At 54.4% G+C, this 12,875-nt stretch overlaps 1 protein-coding gene across 15 annotated transcripts in view, besides 4 other annotated features; it reads left to right on the top strand.

Annotated features, from left to right (window-relative positions):
* HDAC5 (histone deacetylase 5) overlaps positions 1–12,875 on the top strand; it is a 46,889-nt gene that overhangs the window by 18,474 nt on the left and 15,540 nt on the right. For 6 of the 15 annotated variants that reach the window (NM_005474.5, NM_001015053.2, NM_001382393.1 and 3 more), the window contains 5 exons: positions 11,334–11,593; positions 11,683–11,854; positions 11,962–12,076; positions 12,362–12,492; positions 12,641–12,787. In NM_005474.5, coding sequence (NP_005465.2) covers positions 11,334–11,593; positions 11,683–11,854; positions 11,962–12,076; positions 12,362–12,492; positions 12,641–12,787 — 825 coding nt within the window. Of the gene's footprint in view, positions 1–165; positions 254–1,420; positions 2,076–11,333; positions 11,594–11,682; positions 11,855–11,961; positions 12,077–12,361; positions 12,493–12,640; positions 12,788–12,875 lie in introns of those variants that run through there. The other 9 variants (XM_047435050.1, XM_047435048.1, XM_047435051.1 and 6 more) reach the window with 5 other exon arrangements.
* Positions 6,094–6,305: a silencer, noted in NCBI's record as "fragment chr17:42176231-42176442 (GRCh37/hg19 assembly coordinates)". NCBI's record gives its function as "represses an EF-1alpha promoter that drives an FKBP-Casp9 reporter gene in an ReSE screen in HepG2 liver carcinoma cells {active_cell/tissue: HepG2}" and the evidence as "EXISTENCE:reporter gene assay evidence [ECO:0000049][PMID:32094911]".
* Positions 6,653–6,947: an enhancer, noted in NCBI's record as "tiled region #9416; HepG2 Activating DNase unmatched - State 25:Art, and K562 Activating DNase unmatched - State 8:EnhW". NCBI's record gives its function as "activates a minimal TATA promoter and a strong SV40 promoter by Sharpr-MPRA in HepG2 and K562 cells {active_cell/tissue: HepG2 | K562}" and the evidence as "EXISTENCE:reporter gene assay evidence [ECO:0000049][PMID:27701403]".
* Positions 9,048–9,808: an enhancer, noted in NCBI's record as "H3K27ac-H3K4me1 hESC enhancer chr17:42172728-42173488 (GRCh37/hg19 assembly coordinates)". NCBI's record gives its function as "activates a minimal SCP1, AML or CMV promoter by ChIP-STARR-seq in primed H9 embryonic stem cells {active_cell/tissue: H9 hESC(primed)}" and the evidence as "EXISTENCE:reporter gene assay evidence [ECO:0000049][PMID:30033119]".
* Positions 12,282–12,787: an enhancer, noted in NCBI's record as "H3K4me1 hESC enhancer chr17:42169749-42170254 (GRCh37/hg19 assembly coordinates)". NCBI's record gives its function as "activates a minimal SCP1, AML or CMV promoter by ChIP-STARR-seq in primed H9 embryonic stem cells {active_cell/tissue: H9 hESC(primed)}" and the evidence as "EXISTENCE:reporter gene assay evidence [ECO:0000049][PMID:30033119]".

Genomic DNA, 12,875 nt, shown 5'->3' with positions numbered 1-12,875 from the left:
GAGTTTGGCCCCTTGTTGCATCTCTCATTCAGTTTGAGACCGGGCCTTAATGTTTCCCCTTCTGTTTTTTAGTGGGGAGAAGACAGAGAGCCAGAAGAGCTGGGATTAAGCCCTGGGTCCTCCATCTCCTTTCCAGGTGACCTTGGACAAGTCTCTTCCTTCTCTGGCCTCACTTTCCTCCCTCTGAAAACAGGGGGAATTGAGTTGCTGGTCTTCAGGCCTTTCCTTCCCTGACACTCTAAGGGTCTCTGAGGTCAGTTTCACATTGTGTCTGCTTTGTGGGAAGAGGGGCTTAGGGCCTCCTATGTCCTCAGCCCGGGAGGATGTGGAATAGAACTGGGGAGAGAGGTGTCACCTGCAGTGGGGCTCAGTGAGGTTGGAGCCCAGGGAAGAATTTTGGACTGCTTGCAGCTGGGGGCCCCGAGAGCAAGGCCCAAAACTTGTGCTTATCTGTGCTAAGTAATGTTTTTGAGGGACAAAAGGGATCCCACAATTGTGGCCTGAGCCAAGAGCACAGAGTGGCCCTTCCTGGAGGTAGCGAGGCAGGTGAGATGGCCTGGAAGTGCGGGAGTGGGAAGGAAGCTGCTCTCAGAGATTCCTCCTCTGGCATCGACACCCAGCCGCTGGCTGCACGGGTTTGTGTTGTGTGGGACCCACAAGAAGGGCTTTGTTTGTGCCAGGACCGCAGAGTGACATTCAGACAGTCTGAAATGAGTGCTAAGACTTCCCTCTGGTGGGATTCTGAGGCTGGCACCCTTAGAATCCAGGTGGTCTGTGAAGTTGGCCCCACTTAAAAGATTTGGGAATTCTTAAGTATTTCATTTTATGCACTTTATTTTTTATTTATTTTTTTAATTTTTTTTTGAGACAGAGTCTCGCTCTGTTGCCCAGGCTGGAGTGCAGTAGTGCAATCTCAGCTCACTGCAACCTCCGCCTCTGGGTTCAAGCGATTCTCCTGCCTCAGTCTCCCGAGTATGTGAGACCATGCCTGGGTAATTTTTGTATTTTTAGTAGAGACGGGGTTTCACCACGTTGGCCAGGCTGGTCTTGAAATCCTGACCTCAAGTGATCTGCCCACCTCGGGGTCCCAAAGTGCTGGGATTACAGGTGTGAGCCACTGCACCCAGCCGATTTTATGCACTTCAGAAACATCCTGAGAAGGCCAGGCATGGTGGCTCACGCGTATAATTCCAGCACTTTGGGAGGCCGAGGCAGGCGGATCACCTGAGGTCAGGGCTTCGAAACCAGCCTGGCCAACATGGTGAAACCCCATCTCTACTAAAAATACAAAATTAGCCGGGCATGGTGGCGTATGCCTGTAATCCCAGCTACTTGGGAGGCTGAGGCAGGAGAATCGCTTGAACTTGGGAGGCAGGGATTGCAGTGAGCCGAGATCGTGCCATTGCACTCCAGCCTGGGCAACAAGAGCGAAACTACGTCTCAAAAAAAAAAAAAAGAAAAAACCATTCTGAGAAGTGGTCCACAGGCTTCACTAGATTGCCAAAAGAGTTCAGGACACAAAAAATATGAGGAGCCATTAATAATAGCCCTGCCTCGCACCTCTTGATCTTCCCAGGCCCTGTGCCAAGCTCCTCCGCGTACATTCTCCCGAGCCTAACTACCCTGGGTGTTGGGTGCTGTTCTGCCTGCCAGTTTACAGATGCCTGCATGGAGCGCAGGGTGGTGCCCTGTGTCTTGCCCTAGGAAGGGGAGAGCCTGAATTGAACCCCAGCGTCCTCTCACTCCAGAGCCCTTGCTCTCAACCACTACGTGATGTGTGTTCACTTGTGTTACTTAAGGAATTGTGAAAATTGCTAGGTGAGAGTCAGACCCAGCTTGCCTATGTGGAAATAGTATCTGAATTGTGGTAGAACCTGTTGAGCCTAAATTGGCCTCACTAGTCACACAAGAGCACAGAAATAGATCATGGGAAACTGTCCTTGGTGGGGAGGGGTCATCGGTGTCACAGCGTCATGGGCTCAGGGTGTGAAATGTTGTTCTCCGCCTCCTTCCAAACTCCCTCAGGCCAGGACAGGAACAAGAGCTTTTCCCCAATCTCCAAGAGACAGAACAAGGTAATTAGAAGCTGCTGTCTCCCCCACCTGGTGAGGGAGGTCCTGAGGGCCTGGGTGCTGGTGGGAGATTCTGCCCTCTAGGGTAGGCCAGTTACCTAGGGCTGTCTCTTAAATAAAGGGAACCTGGGCCGGGGGCGGTAGCTCAAGCCTGTAATCCCAACACTTTGGGAGGCGAGGCGGGTGGATCAGCTGAGGTCGGGGGATAGAGACCATCCTGGCTAACACGGTGAAACCCTGTCTCTACTAAGAATACAAATGATTAGCCAGGTGTGGTGGCATGTGCCTGTAGTCCCAGCTACTTGGGAGGCTGAGGCAGGAGAATCGCTTGAACCCAGGAGGCGGAGGTTGCAGTGACCCGAGATCACCCCACCCCACCGCACTCCAGCTGGGCAACAGAGAGACTGTCTCCAAAAAAAAAAAAAAAAGAGAGAACCTGGCCGGGCATATGGCTCATGCCTGTAATCCCAACACTTTGGGAGGCCGAGGCAGGCGGATCACGAGGTCAAGAGTTGGAGACCAGCCTGGCCAACATGGTGAAACTCCGTCTCTACTAAAAATACAAAAATTAGCTGGGTGTGGTGGCACATGCCTGCAGTCCCAGCTACTCAGGAGGCTGAGGCAGGAGAATCACTTGAAGCCGGGAGGTGGAGGTTGCAGTGAGCCAAGATTGCACCACTGCACTACTCCAGCCTAGCAACAGAGCGAGACTCTGTCAGAAAAAAAGAAAAAGGGAACCTGCCCAAGGTCATAGAGTAAGTGAGAGCTGGAATTTGAACTCAGGTCTCTGGGTAGGAACGTTGCTAATCCACATAAAAGCTTCTTTTGTGCAGATTTTAAAAAGGTGGCCCTTCTTCTGGGTAGATACGTCCTCATGCCAGTGTGCATGGCCTGGCGATTGGAGCTTGGGCTAGATGTCAGCCCCAACTCACCCCTTTAGACGAGAGCCCATGTGCAATATGCCACCTACACAGCCTTAAGTGCTGGGCCTGTCAGTGTGCGTCCACAGTTTGTGCTCCTAGAGCACAGGAACCATTCTAGCCTCGGGGGCCTCCTGGGGTTGTGAGAGGAGGCTTTGTTTTTTGTAAATACTGAGGACCACTTGGTCGGTGATCTTCCTCCCTGAGGGGATTTTAGCCCAAGGAGAGAAGGGGGCTCAGGAATAAAGTTGAACACCAGCCCTTGTACATCCTTCCCTGCCCCCCTCCCCCTACCTCATCTCCTCTTTATTGTTTTTGAGACCCTCACCTGTCCCAGGGCTGGCTTACACTGAGCACATAGGACATCCCACATGGGAGCCAGACTGCACACGTGTGTGTTCAGAGGGAACCTGCCTGTGCCAGGAGTCAGGACACCTGCGTTCAGATCTCTGTTTTGCTGCTACTTAGCTGGTAGGATCATCTGCAGAGCAGCCTCTCTAAGAGGCTTGGTTTCCTCACCTGTGTCTTGAGGGTATTGAAACAGATGACCTCCAAGGTCCCTTTCACTTTCTCCTCTTGTGAAGGCAGCTCCTCAGATCCAGGGAGTATCTGCACGGACCTCATTTATGTTATGTATAGACATTCCAAACAGCGTAATAATGTCCCATGCCTTGTACTCTACGCCCCTTGGGTCCCCTCCCCTCCTCCTAGCTTTCTGGGGCTGGTGGCTCCTGGAGCAGGGTCTTTTTTTTTTTTTTTTTTTTTGAGACGGAGTCTTGCTCTGTCGCCAAGGCTGGAGTGCAGTGGTGTGATCTTGGCTCACTGCAAGCTCCACCTCCCGGGTTCATGCCATTCTCCTGCCTCAGCCCCTCAGCCTCCCAAGTAGCTGAGAATACAGGCCTGCCACCACACCCAGCTAATTTTTTGTGTTTTTAGTAGAGACGGTGTTTCACCGTGTTAGCCAGGGTGGTCTTGATCTCCTGACCTCGTGATCTGCCTGTCTCAGCCTCCCAAAGTGCTGGGATTACAGGCATGAGCCACTGTGCCCGGCTGGAGCAGGGTCTTTTTAAAAATTAATTTTATTTTAGGCCAGGCGCAGTGGCTCACGCCTGTAATCCCAGCACTTTGGGAGGCTGAGGCGGGCGGATCATGAGGTCAAGAGATTGAGATCATCCTGACCAACATGGTGAAACCCCGTCTCTACCTAAAAATACAAAAAATTAGGTGGGTGTGGTGGCACATGCCTGTAGTCCCAGCTATTCAGGAGGCTGAGGCAGGAGAATCGCTTGAACCCAGAAGGCGGAGGTTGCAGTGAGCCGAGATCACGCCACTGCACTCCAGCCTGGCGACAGAGCGAGACTCCGTCTCCAAAAAAAAGAAAAAAAAATTACGTATGTATGTATGTATTTATTTATTTATTTTGAGACGGAGTCTCTCCCTGTTGTTGCCCAGGCTGGAGTGCAATGGCGCGATCTCAGCTCACTGCAACCTCCACCTCCTGGGTTCAAGTGATTCTCCTGCCTCAGCTGCCCGAGTAGCTGGGATTACAGGTGTGGGCCACCATGCCCAGCTAATTTTTTTTTTTTTTTTTTTTTTTGTATCTTTAGTAGAGACGGGGTTTCACCATGTTGGCCAGGCTGGTCTCAAACTCCTGACCTCGTGATCTGCCCGCCTTGGCCTCTCAAAGTGCTGGGATTACAGGCATGAACCACTGTGCCTGGCCTTATTTTTATATTTATTTTATGGAGCAGGGTCTTTTAGAGCTAGATGCTAAGCCTCTTGGGTCTGCCAGGCAGGTCCACACTGTGCCAGCTCCCTCCCCCCAGGGCTTCTCTAGGGGGAACTATAGTTCCCATTTCCTTGCTGGCCGGGGTTCTTGTCACAGGGATTCTTGAGTTGGAGATGTTGTCTCTGAGAGGGGGCTTGGACCTGGGGTGCAGCTCATGGTGTGTTCAGAGCAGGCGGAAGGCTTGGCCTTGCTCTTGGGAAGCTAGATCTGTTTTTTATTGTGAATTCTTGTTCCCAAGGCACTGCTAAAACCTGTGCCTCATGGCCCAGGGCCACTCGTCTATTTGGAGGCAGTGTCTCTTTGCCTGGACACCGTTTTTTTAGACTAAGGCTGTGCTGGCAGTAGTCTCAGGGGTTGCCCCACGAGCACCTACATCATCTCCCCCAGAGGACCAGGCTCTCCCTCATGCTGCCTGAAGAATCTACCACAGAAGTCCCCACTGGGCTGATGGGGTTCCTGAAGAGGAGGCAGACCCAGCGGGATGGGAAAGAAGTGTCACTCAGGTGGTGCACTGCCCATGGCCACTTGTGCTCGTGAGCTGGGCAGGGCAGCTCCTGAGCCAGAGCTTGCTATTTTTCCAGCCCCTCGCATGGCTAGAAACACACAGCCCCAAGGCCAGGCACGGTGGCTCACGCTGGTAATCCTGGCACTTTGGGAGGCTGAGGTGGGCAGATCACGAGGTCAGGAGATCGAGACCACCCTGGCTAACACGGTGAAACCCCGTCTCTACTAAAAATACAAAAAATTAGCTGGGCGTGGTGGCGGGTGCCTGTAGTCCCAGCTACTCAGGAGGCTGAGGCAGGAGAATGGCGTGAACCTGGAAGGCGGAGCTTGCAGTGAGCCGAGATCGCGCCACTGCACTCCAGCCTGGGCAACAGAGCGAGACTCCGTCTCAAAAAAAAAAAAAGAAAAAACGAAACACACACAGCCCCACCCACTCAGCAACCCAGGCTGGGACTTCCCATGGAGGCAGGGTGGTCAGCCCTGCAGAAAACCAGAGGTCAGGATGGTGCTGCTGCTTGTTACTGAGGCCACCACTCCCAGGAGAAGGAAGGTTCTCAGTGCTGGGAAAGAGGAAAGTATAGAGCTGGGTGCGGGGGGCCCAAGGCTTTCCCCCAGAGCCTTGCCTCTGACCTCTGCAGGAGGTGGCTCTACTGGCCTCTCGATTCCCATCAGAGTGAAGTCCTGGCAGGTGAGGGAAGGACCCAGGTCCTTGTCCTCCCCTGTGAACCTTTCCCTGGCTTTCTTTTCTTTTCATTTTTTTCTTTTTGAGACAGAGTTTCACTCTTGTTGCCCAGGCTGGAGTGCAATGTCGCGATCTTGGCTCACTGCAACCTCTGCCTCCCGGGTTCAAGTGATTTTCCTGCCTCAGCCTCCCGAGTAGCTGGGATTACAGGCATGCATCACCACACCCGGCTAATTTTGTAATTTTAGTAAAGATGGGGTTTTTCCATGTTGGCCAGGCTGGTCTTGAACTCCTGACCTCAAGTGATCCTCCCGCCTCGGACTCCCAAAATGCTGGGATTATAGCCACCAACGCTTGGCTCTCCCTGGCCTTTCAGTGGGGCTCTTTGCTAGCCAGAGCTCTTGGCCTGTCCTCTTAGGGAACAGTGCCCCTTCGTCTACCCTCTTTTTTTTTTTTTTTTTAGATAGGGTCTCGCTCTATCACCCAGGCTAGAGTGCAGTGGCATGATCTGGGCTCATTGCAACCTCTGCCTCCTGGGTTCAAACAACTCTCCCTGCCTCAGCCTCCTGAGTAGCTGGGATTACAAGTGCCCGCTACCGCACCCAACTAATCTTTGTATTTTTTAGTAGAGATGGGGTTTTGCCATGTTGGCCAGGCTGGTCTTGAACTCCTGACCTCAGGTGATCCGCCCGCCTCAGCCTCCCAAACTGCTGGGATTACAGGCATGAGCCACTGCGCCTGGCCCAGGTTCCCTTTTTTTTAAGAGACAGCCCTGGGTAACTGGCCACCACGCCCCGGGCCTGTCTATCCTCTTCTTTTCCCAGAGGTTCCCCAGCCTTCCTAGTCCACCAGGAGGCGGCCAAGAGCCTCTTCCTATCATGACACAACCACTTCCCCTTCCAGGTGCTTGGTGCTGATGGCAACTGCTGCCACCTGCTCTGCTCATGCCAGGCTGGCAGAGGGCACAGATCCTTGAGAGAGTGCAAGGCCCGCCAGGCTCCAGGGTCTGTGCCTGGGCAGACTCTATTCATGGGGCTCCATGCCCCTCCTTTCCCTGACTCAGGCAGAGTAGCCATGGCCCCTTCCACTTTGGGTGGAGCAGGTTGCTACCTGGCAAACCCCTGGGGTGCTGCATGTCACCCAGTCCCTGCAGGTCCTGCAAATTAATATTCTGGAGTCGCCTGTGCTTCCTGTTTGCATGGGAACGAGGCTGCATGGCAGAGCCCTCTGCCTGCCCTGCCACCTGCATACCAATAGGGCTGTGGTTCCCGCTGCAGCTCCGGGCCTAACATCTCTGCTGCTGCAGTGGCAGTGACAGGCTGGTGGGAGATTCCCCTTGCCTGAGCCCATGTGCTCTCTGCAGGGCTCCTGCAAGGGAAGCCAGTACTGCTGGCGACAGTTCCAGCCCTAGGCAGGGTTATCTGCTGGGAGCCAGGAGTGCTTGGACCTCTGCCCTTCCCTGGGCAGGCAGGCTGGAATCTGGCTCCTACAACCCCGGCATTGCCGGGAGCAGCAGGTTGACGGCTGTCCATTGCTTGGCTGAGTGATCAGAGTGCCACGGGCCAAGCCAAGCTTGACTAAGAACAGATAACCCTCCGGCCAGCTCAGGGCCTTGCTGAGCACTTCACGGGCTGGGGAGACCTGAGCTGGCTGCCATTTCCTTGCCACCATCGTGGGCTGTGGCTAGTTACCTCCAGGAAGGCCTTCTGCAGTTTCCAAGGACCCTTTCTCCTGGTGCTGGGGCAGGACATGGGTTGGGAATGAAGATGAGTATGTGTAACCCCACCCTCTGGCCACATCTGGCCACTTCTGCACATGTGGCTCTGGCCTTGTGGCCACAGAGTCGTCAGTATGGCTGGCGGGAAAACCACAGAGGAATGTTCCCAACCATGCCTGGGGGAGAAGAGGCTGGTGGGGACTGCTACATCATGCTGAGCTTTTACCTTCTCCCACCCCACCCTGCCTGCAGGGGGTTCCAGAGGCCATACTCCAGGCATGTGGGTGGCATGGCCTTGGCCTCGGCCTCCAGCAGGCCTTGCTCCTGCCTTGGTGACACCCATTCAGTGCTAGGTTCTCTGGAGAGATCCAGACCCATCTAAACAGGTGTGGGGGCCTCTCTTAGCCCACCCTTTGCCACCTCCTACCTCCCACCTCCCTCTCTTCTCTTTAAAAATTGTTCGGCTGGGTGTGGTCACTCATGCCTGTAATCCCAGCACTTTGGGAGGCCGAGGCGGGTGGATCACCTGAGGTCAGGAGTTCGAGACCAGCCTGACCTACATGGTGAAACCCCGTTTCTACTAAAAATACAAAAATTAGCTAGGCCTGGTGGTGGGCGCCTGTAATCCCAGCTGCTTGGGAGGCTGAGGCAGGAGAATTGCTTGAACCCAGGAGGCGGAGGTTGCAGTGAGACTCCATCTAAAAAAAAGGCCAGGGGCAGTGGCTCATGCCTGTAATCCCAGCCCTTTGGGAGGCCGAGGCGAGCGGATCACCTGAGGTCAAGAGTTTGAGACCAGCCTGGCCAACATGGTGAAACCTTGTGTCTACTAAAAATACAAAAAAATTAGCTGAGCGTGGTGGCGGGTGCCTGTAATCCCAGCTACTTGCGGGGCTGAGGCAGGAAAACTGCTTGAACCCAGGAGGCAGAGGTTGCAGTGAGCCGAGATTGTGCCACTGCACTCCAGCCTGGATGACAAGAGCAAAACTCCATCTCCAAAAAAAAAAAAAACAAAAAAAAACCAAAACTTGTTTTTTGTTTTTTTTTTCCCTCTCTCGCCTCTTAATGCTGGGGGGTGGTCTGGAGAGAGGCCAGCTCATGAAGGCAGAAGATACTGGTAGCCAGAAGGATTTCGGGGTCCTTTTTTCTCAGGCCTGGGCTGGAGTGGGCCACTTTGCCACAGGAGTCTTCCCAGCCCCTCGTGACCTCCCTGGGCTGTAGCGAGGAGAGTGAGGGCTTTCTTTGGAGAAAGAAGTAGAAGAGAAACAGGAATGGGTTGGCCTGCCTCTCTCACTTCCGCCTTCCCAGGCAGTGGTATCCTGCCTTCCCCTTCCTGGCTGGAGACTTTGTGGGGCTTGGGCTGGGCTTGGGGCTCCCTGCTGGTGTGGTGTTTGCCCAGTTGTCCTGGCAACCACAGGGCAGTGGTGAGGAGTGACATGCAGTGACCTGAGAACTGTGTGTAGGTACAAAGAAGTGGAGACCTAGCCCTCCCATAAGCCCATTGGAACTTCGTGCACTCCCTGAGCCACTCGGCCCATTGTCCATGTGGGGACTGGACCCAAGGTCTTGGAACCCAGCAGGCCCTCCACTGCCTTCCCCTCCCCAGCAGCCTTCCTCTCCCCAGCCGGTTCTCCGTAAGACCAGAGTTCTGAGATCTCTGCCGAAGCTCCTGCCCTCCCCCTGCTGTTACCCTTCTTCCTGTCTGATTCCCTTTCCTTTCCTGTCTCCTCCTCCCACCTCCTCCCTGCTGCCTGCCCGCCCATCCTCTTATTCCCCCTCCCCCCAGGCACAGCTGCTGTTTGGCTCACTCTATATATAGCGGCATTTTCAGGGTAATTACAATAAAACTGTTGAAAGGAGATAATCCAGCAAAGGAAGCGAGTCTTGACTCCCAGCCCCCTCCTGTCCCTGGCTTGGTGCAGCCCTGCACCCCCTTTCCCCGAGGCCTCCTGTTCCCACCCCACCCCCATTCCCACAGCCTCTCCCTCCTGCCCAGTCTGCCCCAGATAGGGATGAGGCCCCAGAAGGGGACAGAGGGTAGAGATATCCAGAAGGTCTCCACCAGCCTCTCCTGGGGTTACCAAGGGCACTGTCAGTCCTAGAACCAACCTCTGTGCCTCAGTTTCTCTTCTAGTATGAGGCTTTGCATGGGGCACGGTGTTGAGAAATGGGAGCGGGCACAGTGGTTAAAAGCTTAGGATTTGGACTCATATTCTAGTTATTGGATCACCTAGCTGTGTCTGGTTGCTACTTAAACTTCTCTAAACCTCAGTTTCCTCATCAGTAAAATGGGGTAATAATAGCATCTAAGTCATAGGGTAACTGTGATATTTAAATGAGTCATTGTAAAATGCCCAGAGATGTTGACTATCAATGATAATATTATGTGTTGAAGGCTGGGCAGTGGCTCACGCCTATAATCCCAGCACTTTGGGAGGCTGAGGTGGGAGGATCGCTTGAGCCTAGGAGTTTAATTCAGCCTGGGCAACATAGTGAGACCCTGTCTCTACTAAAAAATTAAAAATTAGCCTGGTGCATTGGCATGCTCCTGTAATCCCTGCTACTTGGGAAGCTGAGGTGGGAGGGTTGCTTGAGGTCGAGGCTGTCATGAGCCACGATCATGCCATTGCATTCCAGCCTGGGCGACAGAGCAAGACCTTGTCTCTGATATATATATAGGTAGAGAGATAAATACACACACATATGTATGTGTGTGTGTATATATATATATACACACACATACGTACACACATATATATACACACACACACACAGATACATAAAATGCGTCGAGTAGTCACAATCTGTCAGGTACAGCTTCATGCTTATGCACATTTTCTTTATTTTTTTGAGATGGAGGCTCGCTCTGTCGCCCAGGCTGGAGTGCAGTGGTGCGATCTTGGCTCACTGCAACCTCCACCTCCAGGGTTCAAGCGATTCTCCTGCCTCAGCCTCCTGAGTAGCTGGGACTACAGGCGTGTGCCACCACGCCCAGCTAATTTTTTTTGTTTTTAGTAGAGACAGGATTTCACCATGTTAGTCAGGATGGTCTTGATCTCCTGACCTCGTGATCTACCCGCCTCAGCCTCCCAAAGTGCTGGGATTACAGGCAAGAGCCACCGCGCCCGGCCTCCCCCTTTTTGTTTTTTGTTTTTTTTTTTTCTGGAGACAGTCTTGCTCTGTCACCCAGGCTAGAGTGCAGTTGCATGATCTTGGCTCACTGCAACCTCCGCCTCCCGGGGTTCAAGAGATTCCCATGCCTCAGCCATCTGAGTGGCTGGGATTACAGGTGTGCACCATCACGCCCAAATAATTTTTGTATTTTTAGTAGTGAGGGGGTTTCATCATGTTGACCAGGCTGGTCTCAAACTCCTGGCCTCAGGTGATCTGCCTGCCTCAGCCTCCCAAACTAACCTGAGATTACAGGTGTGAGCCACCGTGCTCAGCCTGTATTTTCCTATTGAAGTTCATGGCTTCAGCCTCATTTAATTAAGGTAAAATGTTGCATCCATGGAGCAGAGGGATTTGACTTCCTCTCTGTCTCTGTTCTCTTTGGGTCTCCTAGAATCCTGCGTGGTAGCCTTTGGGCCTCAGGCATGACTGGAGTCTGGGGCTGGGCCCACTAACTCCTTCCTGTCTCTTCTGCCCACAGTGGAGGTGAAGCCGGTGCTGCCAAGAGCCATGCCCAGTTCCATGGGGGGTGGGGGTGGAGGCAGCCCCAGCCCTGTGGAGCTACGGGGGGCTCTGGTGGGCTCTGTGGACCCCACACTGCGGGAGCAGCAACTGCAGCAGGAGCTCCTGGCGCTCAAGCAGCAGCAGCAGCTGCAGAAGCAGCTCCTGTTCGCTGAGTTCCAGAAACAGCATGACCACCTGACAAGGCAGCATGAGGTCCAGCTGCAGAAGCACCTCAAGGTGAGCGAGGGGGGTGCGGGGGGCCGCCCAGACCTCCGATCCCCGCCCGGGCCTGGCTCACTTGTGCCTCCGTTCCCATGCCCCTGCAGCAGCAGCAGGAGATGCTGGCAGCCAAGCAGCAGCAGGAGATGCTGGCAGCCAAGCGGCAGCAGGAGCTGGAGCAGCAGCGGCAGCGGGAGCAGCAGCGGCAGGAAGAGCTGGAGAAGCAGCGGCTGGAGCAGCAGCTGCTCATCCTGCGGAACAAGGAGAAGAGCAAAGAGAGTAAGGCAGGGCCTCCTGGGACCTCGTAGGGCCCCGCCCGTGATGCCTGCCCCTGCCATGGGGGGTCTGGCCCCAAGCAGCCAGGTCAGTTGTGCCCTGTCCTGCAGGTGCCATTGCCAGCACTGAGGTAAAGCTGAGGCTCCAGGAATTCCTCTTGTCGAAGTCAAAGGAGCCCACACCAGGCGGCCTCAACCATTCCCTCCCACAGCACCCCAAATGCTGGTAATGGCCCTGGGCAGGCATGGGTGGGCATAGGTGAGCCGCTCAGGGGCTGCCTGGCTATAGGATGGCAAGGGGCTTCTTCCCCGTGCCCATATACGGGCCCTGCAATCTCTCCTTAGAGACAGGACCCCCATCCCTGGTTTATTTCCTCATTCCTTCCCCAAGATCCACGTCCTCTTCCTATATACAAACGATTTTTCATAAATGTAGATTGCCAGGTGGCAGGTCCAGCAGACTGGGTGATAACCTAGATCTGCTTCCATCCCCACCCCCCCCCCACCCCAGGGGAGCCCACCATGCTTCTTTGGACCAGAGTTCCCCTCCCCAGAGCGGCCCCCCTGGGACGCCTCCCTCCTACAAACTGCCTTTGCCTGGGCCCTACGACAGTCGAGACGACTTCCCCCTCCGCAAAACAGGTGAGTGAGTCCCCCACCTGGCCTCCCAGAATATGGCTCCTGGGAGGCAGAGGTGGGCTTGTGGCAGTGTCAGCCCTGACCCCAGTGGGCTCAGCTGCAGATGTGTGCTGCTGTGCGCGTATCTGAACCTCGGTTACCTTCTCTCCAGCCTCTGAACCCAACTTGAAAGTGCGTTCAAGGCTAAAACAGAAGGTGGCTGAGCGGAGAAGCAGTCCCCTCCTGCGTCGCAAGGATGGGACTGTTATTAGCACCTTTAAGAAGAGAGCTGTTGAGATCACAGGTGCCGGGCCTGGGGGTAAGGGCTGCTCTCATGTACCTGTTCTGAGGGTCTGGGAATCAGGGGTCGGGGGTAGTTCACAGCAGGCCCAGGTGACAGCCACTTC

This window comes from Homo sapiens, chromosome 17 (genome assembly GCF_000001405.40).
Source record: "Homo sapiens chromosome 17, GRCh38.p14 Primary Assembly".
Classification (NCBI taxonomy): domain Eukaryota; kingdom Metazoa; phylum Chordata; class Mammalia; order Primates; family Hominidae; genus Homo; species Homo sapiens.
The sequence above is the reverse complement of the archived record's forward strand: the minus strand, read 5'-3'. Positions and strand labels throughout refer to the sequence as shown.